This window comes from Homo sapiens, chromosome 18 (genome assembly GCF_000001405.40).
Source record: "Homo sapiens chromosome 18, GRCh38.p14 Primary Assembly".
In the NCBI taxonomy this organism is placed as follows: domain Eukaryota; kingdom Metazoa; phylum Chordata; class Mammalia; order Primates; family Hominidae; genus Homo; species Homo sapiens.
The window spans coordinates 45361603-45379582 of NC_000018.10; the positions used below are offsets into that span (position 1 = coordinate 45361603).

General features: G+C 43.0%; 1 protein-coding gene and 1 long non-coding RNA gene across 6 annotated transcripts in view, besides 1 other annotated feature; one reads left to right on the forward strand and one right to left on the reverse strand.

Moving 5' to 3' along the window:
* Positions 1-17980, forward strand: part of SLC14A2 (solute carrier family 14 member 2) — a 515726-nt gene that overhangs the window by 193640 nt on the left and 304106 nt on the right. Inside the window, exon 1 of one of the 5 annotated variants that reach the window (XM_047437875.1) lies at positions 92-166. The exons of the other annotated variants lie outside the window; for them this stretch is intronic. The gene's annotated coding sequence lies outside the window, so the exon portion shown is untranslated. Of the gene's footprint in view, positions 1-91; positions 167-17980 lie in introns of those variants that run through there. 5 annotated transcript variants of the gene reach the window in all.
* Positions 796-2568: an enhancer, noted in NCBI's record as "VISTA enhancer hs1363". NCBI's record gives its function as "enhancer in: midbrain (mesencephalon)[5/7] | forebrain[4/7]" and the evidence as "EXISTENCE:transgenic organism evidence [ECO:0001131][PMID:17130149]".
* Positions 3285-17980, reverse strand: part of SLC14A2-AS1 (SLC14A2 antisense RNA 1) — a 142177-nt gene continuing 127481 nt past the window's right edge. The window contains exons 9-11 of the long non-coding RNA XR_007066352.1: positions 5666-5804; positions 5125-5246; positions 3285-3976 (exon numbers count right to left, since the gene is read on the reverse strand). This is a non-coding gene — a long non-coding RNA (SLC14A2 antisense RNA 1). The remainder of the gene's footprint in view (positions 3977-5124; positions 5247-5665; positions 5805-17980) is intronic.

Sequence of the window (17980 nt, forward strand, 5' to 3'; positions counted from 1 at the left end):
CCTGAAGCAACCCCAAGTGGCCCCAGAACTCTGTGCCTGCACCCAAGGGACACTGTGGGGGCATAAGAGCTAGGCTGACTCAAGCACAGTCCTGGCAGCCCTCTCCCTCTCGGCCAGGGCTGCTCGGCTTCTCGGCTTCTCCCTGTTTTACAGTCTGAGATTTCAGGTAAGATTTTGCTTGAAGAAAGTCTTGCAGTAATTTTTTTTTTTAAATCTTGAAAACCACTGGGTTAAAACAAAGTTTCCTGATAATTGCTGCATGGAAAAAAATGACACGGCTCAGGCCCATCTTTTCCCCGGGAGCACCACTTGACCACTTTTCCAAGAACCGCTTTAGACTATGAATCACTGGTGATATGGTTGGGCTCTGTGTTCCCACCCAAATCTCATATCGAATTATAATCCCCATGTGTCAAGGGAGGGACCTGGTGGGAGGTGATTGGATTATGGGGGCAATTGCCCCTATGCTGTTCCCATGGTAGTGAGTGAGTTCTCACAAGATATCATGGTTTAAAAGTGTAGCACTTCTTCACTCACTTGCTCTCCTGCCAGCTTATGAAGAAGGTACTTGTTTCTCCTTCCCCTTCCACCACGATTGTAAGTTTCCTGAGGCCTCCCCAGCCATGCAGAACTGTGAGTCAATTAAGCCTGTTTTCTTTATAAATTATGCAGTCTCAGGTAGTTCTTTACAGGAGTGTGAAAACAAACTAACACAACTGGGGAGTAGAATTTGAGCTGGGAAATGTGGCTGCCAGTTGATCTCCTCCACTGACAGGAACCCTCTGGTGCCCCCACCCCACTTCCAAACTTTTCCATAAATGTTCTTCATTCCTAGGAGTGAATAACTCAATGTGAGAGTCAGCAGGGCTATTCGCATCCAGCCCAACTCCCCTGGTCTTAGAGATGAAGAAATCTACTAAAAATTACAGACAAAGTGACATGCCCAGAGTCACACAACTAGATGGTGGATGTAAAGACTCATTCTCTTTGGGTCTTTGCATGTTTACAAGTTTAAAATATCACACTAAGAGAAACCAGGAAAATCAGAGGATTTAGGGCATTAGCTGCTACCAGGTAGGGCCACCCACGTTCTGTCCAAAGCAGGAAGCATAGGTTTTTCTAGATATCCAGAAGCAGCTGGTATAGCATCACTCACACTGCATAGCTGCTGCTGCAGAAACTTTTATCCTGATAAACATTTGATAGTTTCAGCCACAGGTAAGTGGCCTTGGACTCCAAGACAAATATTTAGTTCTCATCTTTCCCAATTTACCTGTCTCTGGTGTGTGCTGGATGGAGCTGCTCCCCCATGCTAGGGACAGATCTGCCATGAGACTGGAGCTCACTGGGGGGTACCAGCTTGACAACCTCCAGCATAACGAAATCCACCAGGGCCTGGCACTTTTCTGCCTGCTCATATCCATTCCTGTCTGCCCCTGCCTGCCCTTCCCTGTGCAACGACCCCCCCAACCCTCGGCCAAATCAAGAGCGTTGTATTTCCCAAACCCCATTTCACAGCGATATTGTTTTATACAGCCCCTCCAAAATACCTTGAATAGTCCCTTTTTATCGCTTCCATTTTCTGAAAACTCCAGCTGCTCCTCTGAAACCATCCAAATCTAATTAACCACAGAAGCTGGAGTTAGGGAGAGTGGCTCACTTTCGGGTCCTTAGCATACCCATTCAGGCCTTCTTTCAATATGGGCACAAAACCAGGAATTTCTAATAATTGTATCTATGGGCCTGGAAGGGGGAAAAATAAAGAAAAAGAAAGAAAGAAAGCTGCTAATAAGTAGGTCTGTGAAAGGAGGGAGATCAGCACCTCGCATGAACTTGGCAGCCTGGCCCCGAGAAACTTGGAGACAATGCCACTGGGGGATCTAAAAAGCTTAGCCTCCTGACTCAAATCTTGTGAGAATGTACCCAGGCTGTGAATAGAGATCGGAGTCTCAGCCTTAAATTGTCCCAGCTCAGACTCATTGAAATGTCTTCTCACAGAATTAAAAAAGAAGAGGGCAGGAAAGTTTGCTGAATATCAATGAGGCCGTGCTTAGAAGTGGAAGATGGAGAAACTCAGAGGTTTATTCCTGAATGACATGGATTAAGACAAAAGTAACACATTGGGTCTTTGCCAGGTGGTGATGATGGGGAGGGGCTGTGCTCCTCGGGCAGCTGTGGAGGATGGAAGCTACCTGGGCATAAGCCACTTCCTGGGGTGTCACGCTGGGGATGGGGGAAAGTCACCTCCTCAGGCCTCACTTCTCCTTTAACAGATGAGAGGTGAGGCTCGGAGGAGGAATGGGCTGCAGCAGGTACCCCTTGACCTGGGCCTCCTGCCTCCCCAGAATGGCCTCCTTCAGCATTACAATGCAGTCTCCTCAATTGCTTTGCCAAAAGAGGCCATGTGTACCTAATAACTGTACCCATCCTTCCAGTTTCAAATGCCAGTGCCTCCTTAAAGCTTTCCCGTCTCACCTGAGCCCCCTCCCATCCCTCAACTCTTCCCTGTGCTCTGTAGCTGTCTGAGTCACTCCCTCAACTCGTCAGCCCTTGCCTCCTACCACACTTTTTGGACATTTTATTCCCTGCTCTAGATGGCTGCTTGCAGGGGGTCATAGATTACATCATATACTTCTGGTATTCCCTGTCATTTGCTATGCTTAGAAGGCAATTAATAAGCATTATTTGAATAGAAAAATGACTAGCCCAAGCTAAGACTGAAATTCAATGTCTTCTGACTCTTAAAATATCTCAAAATGTCACTATACTAGGTGTGAAGACTCTTTCTGATGGTTGGTTGGTTTACTTCTCTTGATCACTGTGAGAGTAGAAGAGAAAAGGAGTTGTTCCTCTGTAGTATGTACTATGTTGAAGTTAGACAAATTATAAGAATTAACTTATACATGAACATATATACACCTATGTATACATATGTGCATGTATATGTGTGTATACACAAAAATGTATATATGAAATAGGAGTGGATGTGGCTGAACAGAGCAATTGCAGCAAGAGAGAAAACAGTTTTCTTCTGAAAGATGTCCATGATATGTCATTATAAAGAAAAACAACTACAGGTTTTTACAAGCAGCAGGGATTGGGGAATGCACGTTTTAGAATAGTGCTTGGCACCTAGCAAGCATGATATGTTTTACTCATTTTTATTATCAATATTGTCTCGAGTTTTTTCTCCAGAAGTAAGAATGGGTTCTCTTTTACAAGCAGGAACTCACTCACAGGAACTTGCCAGCAAACTTTTATTAAAAAGAAGTAACTCAAGCACCATTCTCTGGTCACCTCTTGTGACAGTGATCTGAAGCCCAGTTCTAGCTCCAGATATAAAGAGTAACAGAACTGGAACAGAGTGAATCGCAGATTTTGGGGGGTCATAGAATTCTCTTCAGATGAGATCACAGGCAGGTAAATAAGTCGAGGAATCCTCTCTGATTGAAAGAGAATAGGGGAATAGGGGTCTTCTCCCTTCTTCCCACCTCCATCTCCCCTCACCACTCCAGCAGCCCCATGTGGACTTCTAAGACCCCGAGCTCAGAGGAGTACTACACCAAAACCTCTGCTTCTCCAGTGTCCCAGCTTTACAGAGCTAGAGTTAGAAATTCTGGGTATAGGTCCCAATTCTGCCTTTTTCTAGCTCTGTGACCTTGTGAGATCATTCCTCCATAGTAATCTTTGTAATCTTGCCTAGGCAATGGTCATTATAGGAACTTCTTACTATATGTACCCTCTAGGGTTGCTGCAGAATCCAATAAGATCATGTGTGTTAAGTGTCTTGTTAGACAATTAATTCATTCACTCAATAATTTATTGAGCACTTACTTTGTGCTAGGCACGAACTTCATGGAGAGGAACAAAACAGGCATGTGTGCCTGCTCCTGTGGAGCTTGCAGGATGCCAAACACAAAGAAAATTCATAACCCATTCAGACTCTGTGACTTCTTGGTCTTGGTTGTCTTCCTTGCTAGAGAAGAAACTGAGGATTAGAGAGATTTCGTATCATGCCCAGCATCGCAGAGGTTCCAGATCACCTATACCTCCCTGCTCGGTGCTCTTCCCCTATGTCACTTGGGCAACACTTTTGGTGAAGAGGTCTGTCTTTTGATGGTTATGATCACAGACTTTAGAGCCAAGAGGCCTGCGTTCAAATCACAGTGCTACCACCTGGCTTAGAGCAAGCACTGTCTGTGTTAGCTATTGTTATTGTTACTATTAATAGTATTGTTACTAGTGATTGTTTTTCCAGCACTGTGAATGAGCTGGTCTCTTATACACTTAGCACACATAAATTGTCCAATTAGCCAGTTTAGGGTTGCAGCTGGGGCTAGATTATCCCATAAACAGACTAAGCACGTACACCCAAGCAAAGCAAAAGGACCAAAAAAAAAAAAAAAATCAACTTCAATAAACTTAGTTTTGTAATCAAAAAATTCCTCCAGCATGAGTAGAGTGAACACCACTACAGTTTTTAGTTTTTCTTTTCCAAAGGACCTACCATGAAGCAGAGTGTGCCCTGGAGCAGAAAACGCAACACAGCTGCCTCCCTGGTCAGGTGCTTGACCCAAGCACCTTGACTTCCTCAGCGGAATCCTCTAAGCTCCCTGCATTGGCTAGCCACAGCTGTCACCACGATCACACCATCCTTCCTGGGCTCAATCCCCAACTTCACCCAGGGGCTTCCTTGGCCTCCTTCCACAACTGCTCTCCTCTCCTCAAGAAAGGTTTGAGATAAACAGAGACTCTGAGCTCTGTCCAGCCAGGTGCTACCAGGTGGGGAAGGCATGTGACAATCAGAGAGACAAAGGCACCAGTGTTCTCATGCTGGGGACCCCCGTGTGGCCACTCCTACCTACAAAAAGACAGTGTGCAATGTGGAAGATGGATCCCCAGCATACTGTGAATTAGAGAGCTGTTTATCACTTCTACCTCCCTTTTCAACATCTTTTCTCTTACTATAGTGCCTTCTCCTCTCCTATCACCCAGAAGCTGCTGGCTAGCTGCTTTCAGACTACCCAGAAAAACCAGCTACAGCCTTCTGCCTAGGACATACCTCTGCCCCACCAGGACCCATGCGTGAATCCCTCTCTCCCACTTCCTTACCTCCATGCTTACCTGGAGTATGTCTCTCACAATTGAGGGAACTGGCTCAGCTGGTATCTGGTGGAATACTTATTGATACAAAAGCATTCAGGCTGCTGATGGACTGGATGTGCTTCATCAGAGCAGTCTACCCCCTTCAGAATGGAACAGAGTGTATGCGTAAAGGTAGGATATCAGGCCAAGTAACGGACCTGTGAGAGAGTAGTTTAAGGGCAGGGCTGGGACTTACTGGTATCCTTTCAATCACACAGCATGCAGAGGCCTTACACACAGAGACAGAAGTAAAATCTGTCAGAATCACAGCTCCATTTAGCTGTGGGGCAGGCAACCAGTTATACAGCAGCATGTAAATGAAGAAAGGTGTTTCTTTGATCTGGAATTGTCAGTTTGGTTTTATATTTTGGATCTGTAGCTTTTGTATTTTCAGTTTGGAGTAAGAGAAATGTTAGAACTATGAGAGAAACTTTGAAGTCCACCTTTTCATTTTACAATTATGAAAACAGCAAGCCAGAAAGGGAAAAAGACTTGACCAAAGTCCCAAGCAAGGTGGTACCTTATGGATTTGGAGGATGCTACCGAGATTTCATATATTTATGATGAAACTGGGTTTCCTATAGGTTATGGAAGAATGAGCGTCCTTGCCTCCTTATATCTTTCTCCTGGGTTTTTAGGTTCTCAGAAACCAGCTGACTCTGTCATGTACAAGAACAAGGAAAAGAAAAGAAAAAAATTATTCAGTGCATGTAAAGAATCTCATCTTCCCATTTTAAATGGCACATTGACCAAATCAGTGAGCAAGCAGACTGGAACATCATGTCAACCTGTGGACTCAACATTTTAATGGCCTCATGACCTAGCAAAGGTCACTTTCTCCCAGAAGTCCAGAAGTGTGCCAGGGCTGGCTCATACCAAGCCAGTTGTGAACATCATTCCCCAACTCCAATTTCAGTAACCTCACATTGGTAGCTTAATATTGGCCATGATTCAAGTATTTACACCATGGAAACCAGCAAGTGCTACAAATCAAATTTTTGTTGTTGTTGTTGTTGTTGAGCTGGTGTGTAAGTTTTCTTCCTTCCCAGGGCTCTGTTTACTCTGCTATAAGAGGCTATCTTGGCTCAACTTACTTCTGGCTCTTGAGTTCAGGAATTGTAATCAGAATAAAGTGGCAGCTCTTTATCTAGAGAAAGAGGCACTGAAGGCTTAATGTTCTTTTTGATTAATCAAAGGCAAATCTTGAGCTCACTGGTTGACACCTTGGATTGAAAACAGGAACATCTGGGTGGCTGTGATCCTTCATGTCTCTTTGCTGCTCTGTGCACAGTGGGAATTCCTACTGTGGGGATCCAGGAGGACAGAAGATAACAGACGCATCCTCCAAGCAGATTTAATGTGGGAGAGATGGAGAGACACACTCTGATGTTTTCCCTTTACCTAAGTAAAGGGCACCTGAAACTTTCTGCAGGTCTCCTGAGCAGTGCTTATGAGCCAGGCCTCTCAAGAGAGTGACATGCCCACACTTACAGTTAATTTCCTTTGAATGTATAATTTGCCTTGTTGCTGTTGAGTTTCATGATATTAGAATATATAGAAAAAGCATGAGTTGAGGGTGAGAGTGTAGGAGGGAAAACAGAATACTTAAGATAACATCCATAGCCTTGCACACCAAGAACTCAGAAACTCTGGTCCCTTAGATCCATTCGTAGCTTTTCCCTGGGCATAAGCCACCAGGAGTCAGAGACTGAGATGTGGCTGGAGTAGACAATCGCTTCCATGGCAAGATTTAAGGAAGAACCCACACTTCCTGCCACATTGGGCTTATGACTTTATAATGTCGTTTCCCTTGTTAAGCATTTGGGAAGTCAGATTTATCATCTCTGTTTAACAATCCATGAAACTTCGCAAATGTCAAAGCTAGAAAGGTTTGGGGACTCCAGTGTTGAGGTCAGAGAGGAAAGGCCATGCAGGCAAGGGAGAAATACAAAAAGCAAGTGGAGACGAAAGGGCTCAAGACAAATCACAACCTGCTCTGAATTTCGTTTTGGATTGGCTTAACTGTTTGCTTCTCTCCTACCAGTGAGAAATTGGTCCTGTTGGACACTGAAGTGTTCCGAGTAAAGTTAATAGCCAATAAAGACCAAAAATCTTAGTAATCCAATTAAATTGGAATTTTCAAAATTTTTCAGCCATTCAGCCGTAGAAGCACAGGCCTTAAAAAGCATGAATTCTCATCATCTTCAGCCAAGAAGAAGCTCAGCAACAACTCAGGCTGCTAGGATGTTGTAATGGGGATACCTAAATTGAATGAGTGTTTTCAACCAGTCCACCTAGAAAAGGCTGATTCTCCATGAAGTGAAAGTGATTATTCTGCATGGGTCTCAGTCAACATGGGAAAAGCAAATAAACACTAACACTGCTCATCTTTCCCTTTATGCACCACTCACTAACCCTGATCCTCACCATATAAAAGGAAATTCCGCTTGATTCCCTAGAGCAGAAAGATGAGGGCAGTTTAGTCTCCGATGAAGGAAATTCCACATCCATCTTTCTTTTCCCATATCTTTCTACCTATGCACTTCTCTTTAGGGTTAAACAATAAGGGTGTTTGTTCTCTTCTGCTTTTCTTAGGAAAGTTATTTTTCCAACTAATTCACATGTTTGACTTAATTTGATGCCCACCCCAGGTACATCTGCATTTTAAAAGAGGTTATTAGGAAAATGTAGGGCTTAATCCAAGGAAATATCATATATTTAGTAGTGAAATCCCAGGGACCAAAGATGGGTATATTATATATGGTTGGGTTGACTGAAGAATCGTGTTCCAACGAGGATAAACTAAGATTCATTTGATATATGTATATGTTTTATGCTAGCATCATTATTCTATAGTGCTTTCATTTAATTTCTTTTAATAGTAAAAGCAAAGCTGTGAGAAAGGTGTATTTGCTCATGTGTGTGTATATTTACACAAATACATATTTTACGTATGAACTTGCTCAAGGTTATATTTTTATTAGTGAACATCTACAGTGTACCAGGCACAGTGCTAAGCTCTGAGAATACAACGAGAAGCCAAGCAAACATGAGGACTCTTTGGTGAGATTACAGTCAAATACACCCTCTAAATTGTCCAGCAGAATCAAATCCTCATAACAAGTCCAGAACTCTTTCTACTGTGTTATAGCTGTTTCCCAGGGAAGTTATAGGAAATGTGTATTGGTAGATATTTTTCCCTCCAAAGGCATCCCTAGACCAAACTGGATCCTTTATGAAACTCTATGGACTGAGAGCCAGAGCTGTTGAGGCTCTAGGCAAAGCCATCTTCTCTAACCAACACTGAGGAGTCAGGTTGATTTTGGTATTTCTCTACCTTTCCTTTCCCTGTTCCTGCCAAATATTCTTTCCCCATATCAGAGGCAACCCTACTAGAAAACACAAAAGAAACAGAAACAGGATTACTCCCCTTCCTGGAAAAGGAGTATAAAGGCTGAACACATGGGAGAACCCAGGGTGACGAATGTCTAGCCCCCACTTCAACCACCCCTCAGAGTTTTTTCTTCCCCCAAGAGACCCCAGAAGGAGAATCAGCCACAAGGGAAGATTCAGGCAGGCCTCCGGAATGAGGGCTGGTGAAGAAGTAAATCCAGGCAACTCTATCATCTGCTCCGTGGGAGACCAGGCTGGTGAGCTCAGAGGCCTGTTTTTCCCTTAACAGATGCAAGAAAAGAGCCGGAAAAGGTCAGAGATAAATGCAGCCCTCACTTTGTTCTGCATATTCAAAAGAACTTCTCTAAAGAAAGACCCAAAATATATGTGTGTTCACTCAACCTTTTCCTGTCAGGCACAGGGTTCCAGATACGGACATGACAGGGTAACCACTGAGAAAATTTTTGCAGGTTTGCAAAATAGCAGTGCTTAGGAGCAGGGCGCCCAGAAAGAGTGCACTTCACGCGGGACCCATCAGTCTGGTGGGAGAAAGAGAAGCTTGGAAACAACATATTATCTTGAGAAATCACTCCCAGAAGGGAGCAAAAAGTTCACAGGGAGAATGCCAGGGAGTGGGAGAGAGAGAGCGACTGGAACACTGTCATCAGAGCGGCTGGAATTGGAAACGGTCCAAGACCTCATCATGGCTGACATCCCCGCGCATAATCAGAAATTCCTTTCAATTATGTGGGAAAAGTCTCTTTGCATTGTCAGCCCAGATGCCCCTGTGAAGAAATAGCATGAAATGAGTCTCAGGGAAATGTCAGCGTGGGAGCAAGATCCGATTGCCAATAGCTTGGTTAGGAGAAGACAGGCCAGAGAGGCGGGCTGATGGAATAATCTGTTGTACCCCAAGGCAAAACAAAGCAACACCCCCAAAGGTGAAGGAGCTGTGTACCCTGGCTTGGTGGTACAGATACCCATTTTCTCAGCATGAGTCAAAAATGTTTGATCTTGTAGCCCTGAGACATCGCTCTACCTCAGTTTCCACTAAAAGGACCCAACCAGCCTTTTGAGCCATAATTCCCACGATCTCCTTCTGTTCACCAAACTGGACTATCTCCTGTTCTCCAAACCTTGTTAAACCTCAAAGACCTTTTCAAATTCCACTTTCCCCACGCAGTGTTGAAAAGTGAATAGGCCCTGTCCTGTAACTCTTTTCACCCACATAATATCTAGCCCCATACTATATTAATTTCCATTAATAACAATAATAATAAAAATAGCTGATATGTATTGAACCCTAACACCATACTAAACTAATTTAATCCTTATACAATCTATTGCATAAATAAACAATGATATCATTCAATCCTTTTGCAGAGGAATAAACTGAGACTTAGCTAGTTAAGTCTAAGTTTACACATGTATCTAAGACTACATATAAAGGCAGAGCCTGTATACAAACGTTGGTCTTTCTGACCCTAGAGCCTATTCTCTAAAACCTTGTGCTTTTCTATCCCCCTCAATGTTTGCTTACTAACTCTCTCCTGAGGAGGAATTGATAAATGCCCATTGTGCAAATCTAGCCCAGAGAAGAAGCTCAAAAGCCAGTTGTAAATGTTTGTTGGCTTCATATCTGATTATTTTCTTTACTCAGTGTCTGTTTTCCAAATACTAAACTTTCTACTACTTGCTTTACAAGTAAATTCATTGACGAGTATGTGTACCAGGATAAGGTTTTTAAAAGGATATAGAAAAGGGTTATCTGATGCAGAGTTAAGTGTTCTTGAAAATAATTGGGATAGTATTACCTACTTAGATAAGGCCTTGGGTGGGAACTAGAGCTTCTAAAATTAAATGTTATGATAAGTAATTCATTTATATTAGGCCACACACAGTGGCTCACGCCTGTAACCCCAGCACTTTGGGAGGCTGAGGTGGGCAGATCACCTGAGGTTGGGAGTTCAAGACCAATCTGGCCAACGTGGCAAAACTCCATCTCTACTAAAAATACAAAAATTAGCCAGGAATGGTGGCACTTGCCTGTAATCCCAGCTACTCGGGAGCCTGAGGCAGGAGAATCGCTTGAGCCCAGGAGGCGGAGGTTGCAGTGAGTCAAGATCATGCCACTGCACTCCAGCCTGGACAACAAGTGAGACCCTGTCTCAAAAACAATAATAATAATAATAATAATAATTTCTATTAGATAAAATTTCTACACTATAATCATAGGGTCGTAGAATACTGGATTGAGCTGGAGATGATCTGGAAACATCTAACATAGCTTCTTAGATGGGAAATCTAAGGTCAGACTGAGGATGGCCCTTGTTCTTGTCATTCAGGGAGTTACTGCCAGAGCTGGCATTGTTTAAAATGTGAACACCTGAAAAGACTAACCCACAGAGGAGACACAGAGTCGCTGGTAGAGGCGAAGTCTTCTCAAACTTTCGTGTGCATACAAATCAACTGGGGTAATGTCAACATGCAAGTTCCGATGCAGGGTAGGGCCTGAGATTCTGCATTCCCAACAAGCTCCCAGGGGATACTTGTGCCAATAATCCATGGACTGCACCTAAGGTAGCCAGGATCTAAACCATCACTATCTAATAGGAATATAATGCAAGCCATGGATGGAATTTTAAATTTTCTAGTATCCACGTTTTTTAAAGTTTAAAAAAGATTATTTCAAGAATATCGTGTATTAAATCTAATATGTATATAATGTTATTTCAACATATAATCAAGATAAAATATAGTTAGATATTTTACATTCTTTTTTCATGTTAAGTCCTTTGACATCCAGTATGCAGTTTTAAATTTTCAGCACAATTTGGACCAGTCACATTTCGAATGCTCAATAGCCACACCTGGCTAGTGGTGACCAGATTGGCCAGAACAGCTCTAGACTACACTTCTGTCGCTTGTAGACTATCTGATGGAGTCTATTTCATTTTGAAGTCTTGAAACCCAACTAGACCAGCTCCTCCATAAGAACAGGGTTTATTGCTATGTATGCCCCATGACACTAAATGTGGGCATATACAGAGTGATAGTTCCTTATAACTCATCAACTGATTTCCCCTTCTCCTTCTCTCTTAGTAGGAAAAAATATCCTTTCCTCCACTATCTTCACACATTTATATTATTCGGCTCCAGGCTCTCTCTCTAGCATAGTTGCTGCATTGGGTGATGTTAGATTAGCTGACTTCCAAGCTTCTTTCTTCTCCCAAAAGTCTATGATTTTATCCATCCCAACACTAGCTGCAGTTATTGCCCCAGATACCTTCTCAGCTTCCTCTTTTTCTTCATAGCAAATAGTTCCTACAGCCCTCCCTCATTTCCTCTTTTAAAAACTCATTAATCACCTACATGCTCCCTCTGGAGCCAACTTCAGGCTACTCTCAGATTTAGAGGCTTAAGTGGAACACCAGAGTCTAATAGGGGACAACTGGGGGCACTATATCAGATGCTCCTGTTTCTACATGCCCACAGAACTCAGTCTTGTGTTTATATATGGCCCTGAGAAAAATGGCCCACGGTCAAAGTATTAAGTGTCTGAGGAAGAGTATAGTGTAGTGGTTAAGTGCACAGGCCTTGGGATCAGACAGCCTGTGATCACATACCAGCTCAGCACAGGGCAAGTATGTAAATCCTCTATGCTTCGGTTCTCCTAATAGGTAGGTGAAAGAGCCAACCCAAGTGAAGGACTTAAAAGACAGTGCCCCTAGATAGTCAGTGCTCAACTATTAAAGTTGGTTGTTTTTGAATTGTGAAGACAGGATTCATTGCATGGCTCAACCCAAGAAATACTGTTGCTAAAAAGGAGTGAACACATTGTGGATTGTGCCTAACTTAGAGCAAAACTATCTCTATTTCACATTAGCCATCTGATCATGACAACCTCAAGACCTTCTCATTTTAGTCCTCTTAAGATCCTGTTGCTTTCTTCCCTCTCCTCACCTTCCTACCCAGCACCCACTGCTGACCTTCACCTGGCTATTTATAAGAACCTGTCAAAGTACAGGTTATTGCAGAGAGGCCCACAAAAAGATATGCTGAGTGACAGCCTTGTCTCCATGCTGTCCAAAGTCACCCTTGTGCAGTTTGCAAATAAACAACTCTCCTGGAAGAAAGAACAAATAATTCATAATTGGCAATCTGCATAATGAGTGGTGCATCTATGCAAATATAACATTTGGAATAATCTATTAATATCTCAACTGTGATGTCTGTGGGCCACCACTTCCCATGCTAAAGAGCCAGAGCCAAATATTTTCTGACTCCTCTTGAGGTGAGAAGAGAGAATGACAAGCTGCTGTCTTCCTGGGGTTCCAGTTAAATATCTGGAGACCACCAGAGTTGGAAGGGACCTCAGAAACTGTTCAATCCCTACTCCCACCCCCACCTCTCAGATAAAAGATAAGGAGTCAGAAATCCAGAGAGGCATAGAGGTTCCCAAGTTTACTGTGCTATTAGAGGCAAAACTAAGATCACAAGCCAGTTACAGACTCCCAGCCTCAGCTGCTGAAAACTTCAGTCATCCGTGTGGGATTATTTTACTTTGTACAAAAATCAGTTACTTTGTACTTTGTACTCCCTCCTCTACCTCCCATCCTTCAGAGCTGAACTCCTTTTGCTCATCTGGACTTCTAACCTAGGGAACCAAATTCTAGGACTGCAAAGCAGAAGGATTAGGGAACTCAAACAAAAAGCATCTGATCCCAAACAAGGTGGCCATTTGTGAGTTAAGCTAAGACACAACCCCTGGGTTGAGCTGAGCCCCTTTGCTCTGGAAGTAGAGAGACTCTTGAACGCACATGCATACTTGAATAAATAAAGCCTCAGATTTATAAAGGTAATACTAAAACCGCCCTTGCAAAATTATGACTGAGAGACAATGAAAGAGATCTAACCTAACCAACTCCATCTTGCTTCTAACCTTTAAGCTGTCCTTGTTGCTTCCTGGCTGTAGACTGAACTAACTTTGGGAGGAACTTAGTTCATAGTTTATAGTTTAAAACAAAGACAATAACAGTCCTTTCCCAAAATAAACCTCCTTCTTGCCTGGGGACTAGACTGCCTTTGTAGGACTTACAAGTTAGCCACAAGATTAAAAATTATGGTTTAGGAATCATGCAGCTGGAGGCTAAAAGATTCTGACCCTCCCTAAACTGCTCCTAAGATCAGTGCTTGAGATACTTTGCAGACCCTGCATGGGATGGATCAGCTGGCACCACCCAGATCGATAAACTGGCTCATCTGGTCTTGTGGCCTCCACCCAGGAACTGACTCAGCACAAGAGGACAGCTTCAACTTCCCATGAGTTCATCTCCTACCCAACCAATCAGCACTCTCAACTCACTGGCTTCCCCTCACCCACCAAGTTGTCCTTAAAAACTCTGATTCCAGAATACTCGGGGAGACTGATTTGAGTAATAATAAAACTCTGGTCTCCTGCACGGCCGGCTCTGCATGAATTATTCTTTCTCTATTGCAATTCCCCTGTTTTAATAAATCAGCTCTGTCTAAGCAGCCGGCAAGGTGAACCCATTGGACAGTTACAATGTTACAGTACTTCTACTACTGAACCACCAGCATTGAGGAATTGCAGGACAGGCTCTGTGAGCAATCCATGACTACATTCCCCCATCACTTTCCTTTTCATCCTTATCTCTCCAGCCAATCCTAGGTAGCCTCACCACTTTCATCATGCTCCTTCTCCCCTTCCCTAGAGGGAACAGGGGCTCCCTGTGTCACCCCAAATATCTAACAAGCAACAGTGCATGCCCACATACCCACTGGCCAGGACAAGCTGGGAAACTCTGGATGGGTACAGAGCAATCAGTTATTCAATCAGGCAGTTAACCATTGCCCAATTTGGAAGAGTAGCCATGTGGATCTGGGAGGTTGGGCCACACCCCCGACATGGACATTAACTAGCCAACCTTAGTCCTTACTTTTTCTTTAAGGTACAGGGCACATAGTTTCTTCTCCTTGAGGCTTTTCTGGAGTTAACCTCACTTCTAAAATTCAATTAATAGCATCTCTTCCTGCTCTAGTTTGTGCACGCCGCCACTTTACTTTGCACAATTTGTATTTTGCTGAGCTCTTTGTATCTCTCTTGCAGGCTAAATTGTGAAGGTCCTGAGCACCTTGCACAGTGTCTGCCACAAATAAATGCTCAGAAAGTGTTTGAGAAATGACAGAACCAGTATATTAAGTCATAAGCCTCTCCAGACTCCAATTTCCACATCAGGGGAATGAGGGAAATGATGGACTTAGTCAACTTAATTCTATGACTAAGATACTATTAAATATCTGCTTGTGCTCAGATTCTGCTAAGGGTTACTGAGAATTAAGGGAAGTACAAAAACTGCTCCTAGTCCCCAGGAATTTAGCTGGAAAGACAAACACACTCAGGAAAGAAAATCATTTCAGGCTACTCTGGGTGGTTCTAACTGTTGATGCGACAACGGATCAGAGAAAAGAGAGATCACTGCCAGATATGACATTTAGAGATGGTTCTCGATGGCTTTGAGATGAGTACAGGGTGGGGACATCCCTAAAAGAGATGACTCTGTGAGCCAAGGCATGCTTTGAAGCTAGGCTTGTAAGCCAACTATCTGGGCATGGGAAATGGCAACCTCTGGAGCTGCAGATCTTGATTTCTGATGGTTGATTCAATGGATACTTTATAACGACAGAGACCTTACTAGATTTTTGGTTCTTTTCTCTTGCTCATACTTTTCACCTCTTACTTTCTACCCATTTCTTCCTAAAAATAGGTCCTTTTCTCTCCTGTCTTAATAAAACACATTGTTAACCTTGCTGTCCTCTCAAAATGTTCCTTTACTTCCTATCCCCTTTAAAGTGTGGTTTACATCACTGCCCCCATGCCTGAACAACCCATTGCCATCTGACTGCCTCTTCCACTATGCCCTGATGCTACTTTCTAAAGGTGATGAAAACATCTGCAGTTGCCAAAATCAGAAGCCATTTCTCATTCCTGGTCCTGTGTGACCTCTACTGCTGTTTAGTCTATATTAACCCTCAGCTTACATCTCTTGAAGTGTCTCTTCTGGTTTCTGTGGTCTGCTCAGGGGTGATTTTTTTTTTTTTACTACCTTCTTCTTTTCTTTTCCCCTAAACACAGATATTCTCCCCAAATCTCCTGAGGATCCCCACACTCAATCCCTTGATGGTTAAATCTTTTTGTATAACATTGGCATCTACTCCAATGACTTTTAAATCCCCAGTACTAATCCCAACTCATCTGAAACTTTAGACACTGGCTTCCAACTGCCAAATAAACTCTCAGCCTGGAGTCCTACCAGCACCTCAGAACCAAAGTCTAAAACCTAGTCCTTCCCATTTGACCTCTACCTCTTTCTCCTCCCCATTTCACTCATTTCCCCCTCTCCTTTTCTAATCACACTTATTTCAAAGATTAAGCATCACAGGTCCTTGCTTCTCAACATCTCAGATTCATCCCCTTCTTTCCATTTCACTTGGCCACTTTGGTTTGGCTGTTCTCTACCTCTAAGACACCTGCATTTTCACTCCCACTTCCAATCCATCCCAAACTTCCAGATGCACTTTTTCTGTCCTATAACTCTAATTGTTCCTCTTCTCTGGGTGACAGCCTTCCATGATTCTCTATTACCTACTAAACTTAAAATGAACCCTTGGTCTGGTCATCCAATCCTCTGTCTTCTACAGTCCCATCTTCCTGCTTTACTTGCTACAGCTACCTACCAGCCACCCAATTACAGGGATCTCTCCAAGGAAATCTCACAAATTCCCATTTCTGTGGCTTGTTTATCTATCTTCCTTGAAAATCCTACCCCCAACAATCACCATAAAAAAATGCACACATCTTTCAAAATTCCTGTGAAATCGCATTTCCTTCTCGAACCCAGAAACCAGTGTAATCTCTATCTCCTTGTTTCTCCCCTAAGGCACTTAGATACTTTACTTTGAATTTATAGTTATTTATCTATGGGCTCCAAACTACAGTAAGCTCCTAAGGCTTGGGACTGGGTCTTATTTATTTCTGAATTCTCTGGAGTATTTAGCATAGTGTAAAGGCTCCTATTAAGAATTGAATTGAGTTGAATTGAACTGAACTGAATTGAATTACTGGTAAAGATGTCTGAAGACAGCTCCTTTTATTGAGGTCTCCAGAGTAAAATCTTAGGAGAACTACTTCTTGAGAAGAATCTATGAGCTGTTATAGCACAGTTAACATTTAGAATTGAGCTTGGATGGCCATCCCCTATCTCTATTGAAAACTGACTTCAAAAATGTCTGGAAGTAGTTTTTTCTTTACAACTGTGAGATGACATGATAGAGGCAAGTGATTCAGCAGAAAGCATTTGGGGTTGGACATCAGTTGTCCTGAATTCTAATTTATTCTTTCATATGTAATCATGTTAATGGGCCACATTTTGCTAACACTCCATAAGACTTAAAAAATTAGTTTGTATTACCGTTCCTGCTGTCATGTTTAAGGTTTTGGTGGAACTCTATGAGAGGAGGGGACATGTCTGTTTTATTTACCAGGGTATTCACAGGTCCTGGAACACATAAATGCTCAATGCATTTTGTTTCTGATCATTGCTGTTGTTGTTGTTGTTGTTGTTTTGTTTTTTAGGACTGGGTTTTGCCATGTTGGCCAGGTGGGTCTAGAATCCCTGACCTTAGGTGATCTGCCCGTCTCAGCCTCCCGAAGTGCTGGGATTACAGGCGTGAGCCACCGCTCCTGGTCGCTCAATGCATTTTGATCAAATCAGCCTTATGGTGAAAAGATACCTGACGAAAGAGCTAATTAAATTAAAATCCAAGGTAGTAAATGATCAAATAAAAAACACAACATAGAAAAGTGACTGAATCTTGTTAATCCTCGAATTCTCTGCCCCACTTTTACTTTTACCCAAACCCGAACAGTGCCTGGGGTGACCTAACAGGACACATTAGAGATGGAACAACTGCAAGTGTCACGGAATACAATCCATCTGGCACACTATCTGCTCTCAAGTGTCCCTCACAAAACATCCTCCAGGTTATACTTAAATTCCCTCAGGAATAATAAGCTTACTGCCATCTACATTGTTGGACAGCTTTCTATGTTAAAAAGGCAATTCCTATATTGGGCCAAAAGCTGGCTTCTTATAAATTCCGCCCACTGGTCCTAATTCTGCCTCCAATGTAACATAGTGAAAGTCTATTTTCTCTTCTGTGTGTGGCCTTTCCCATGTCTGAAGACAGCTATCAGATCTGCACCACATGGAACTATTCTGCAAGCTACCTCTCCCCACCCCCATTCCCTTAACCATTCCTCCTTCGACCTGGTTTCAGAACCACCCTTCCGAGTCATTACTCTTATCTGAATGCACTCCACATACCCATGATCCTCTAAAAGGTTCCCAAATCTGGGTGA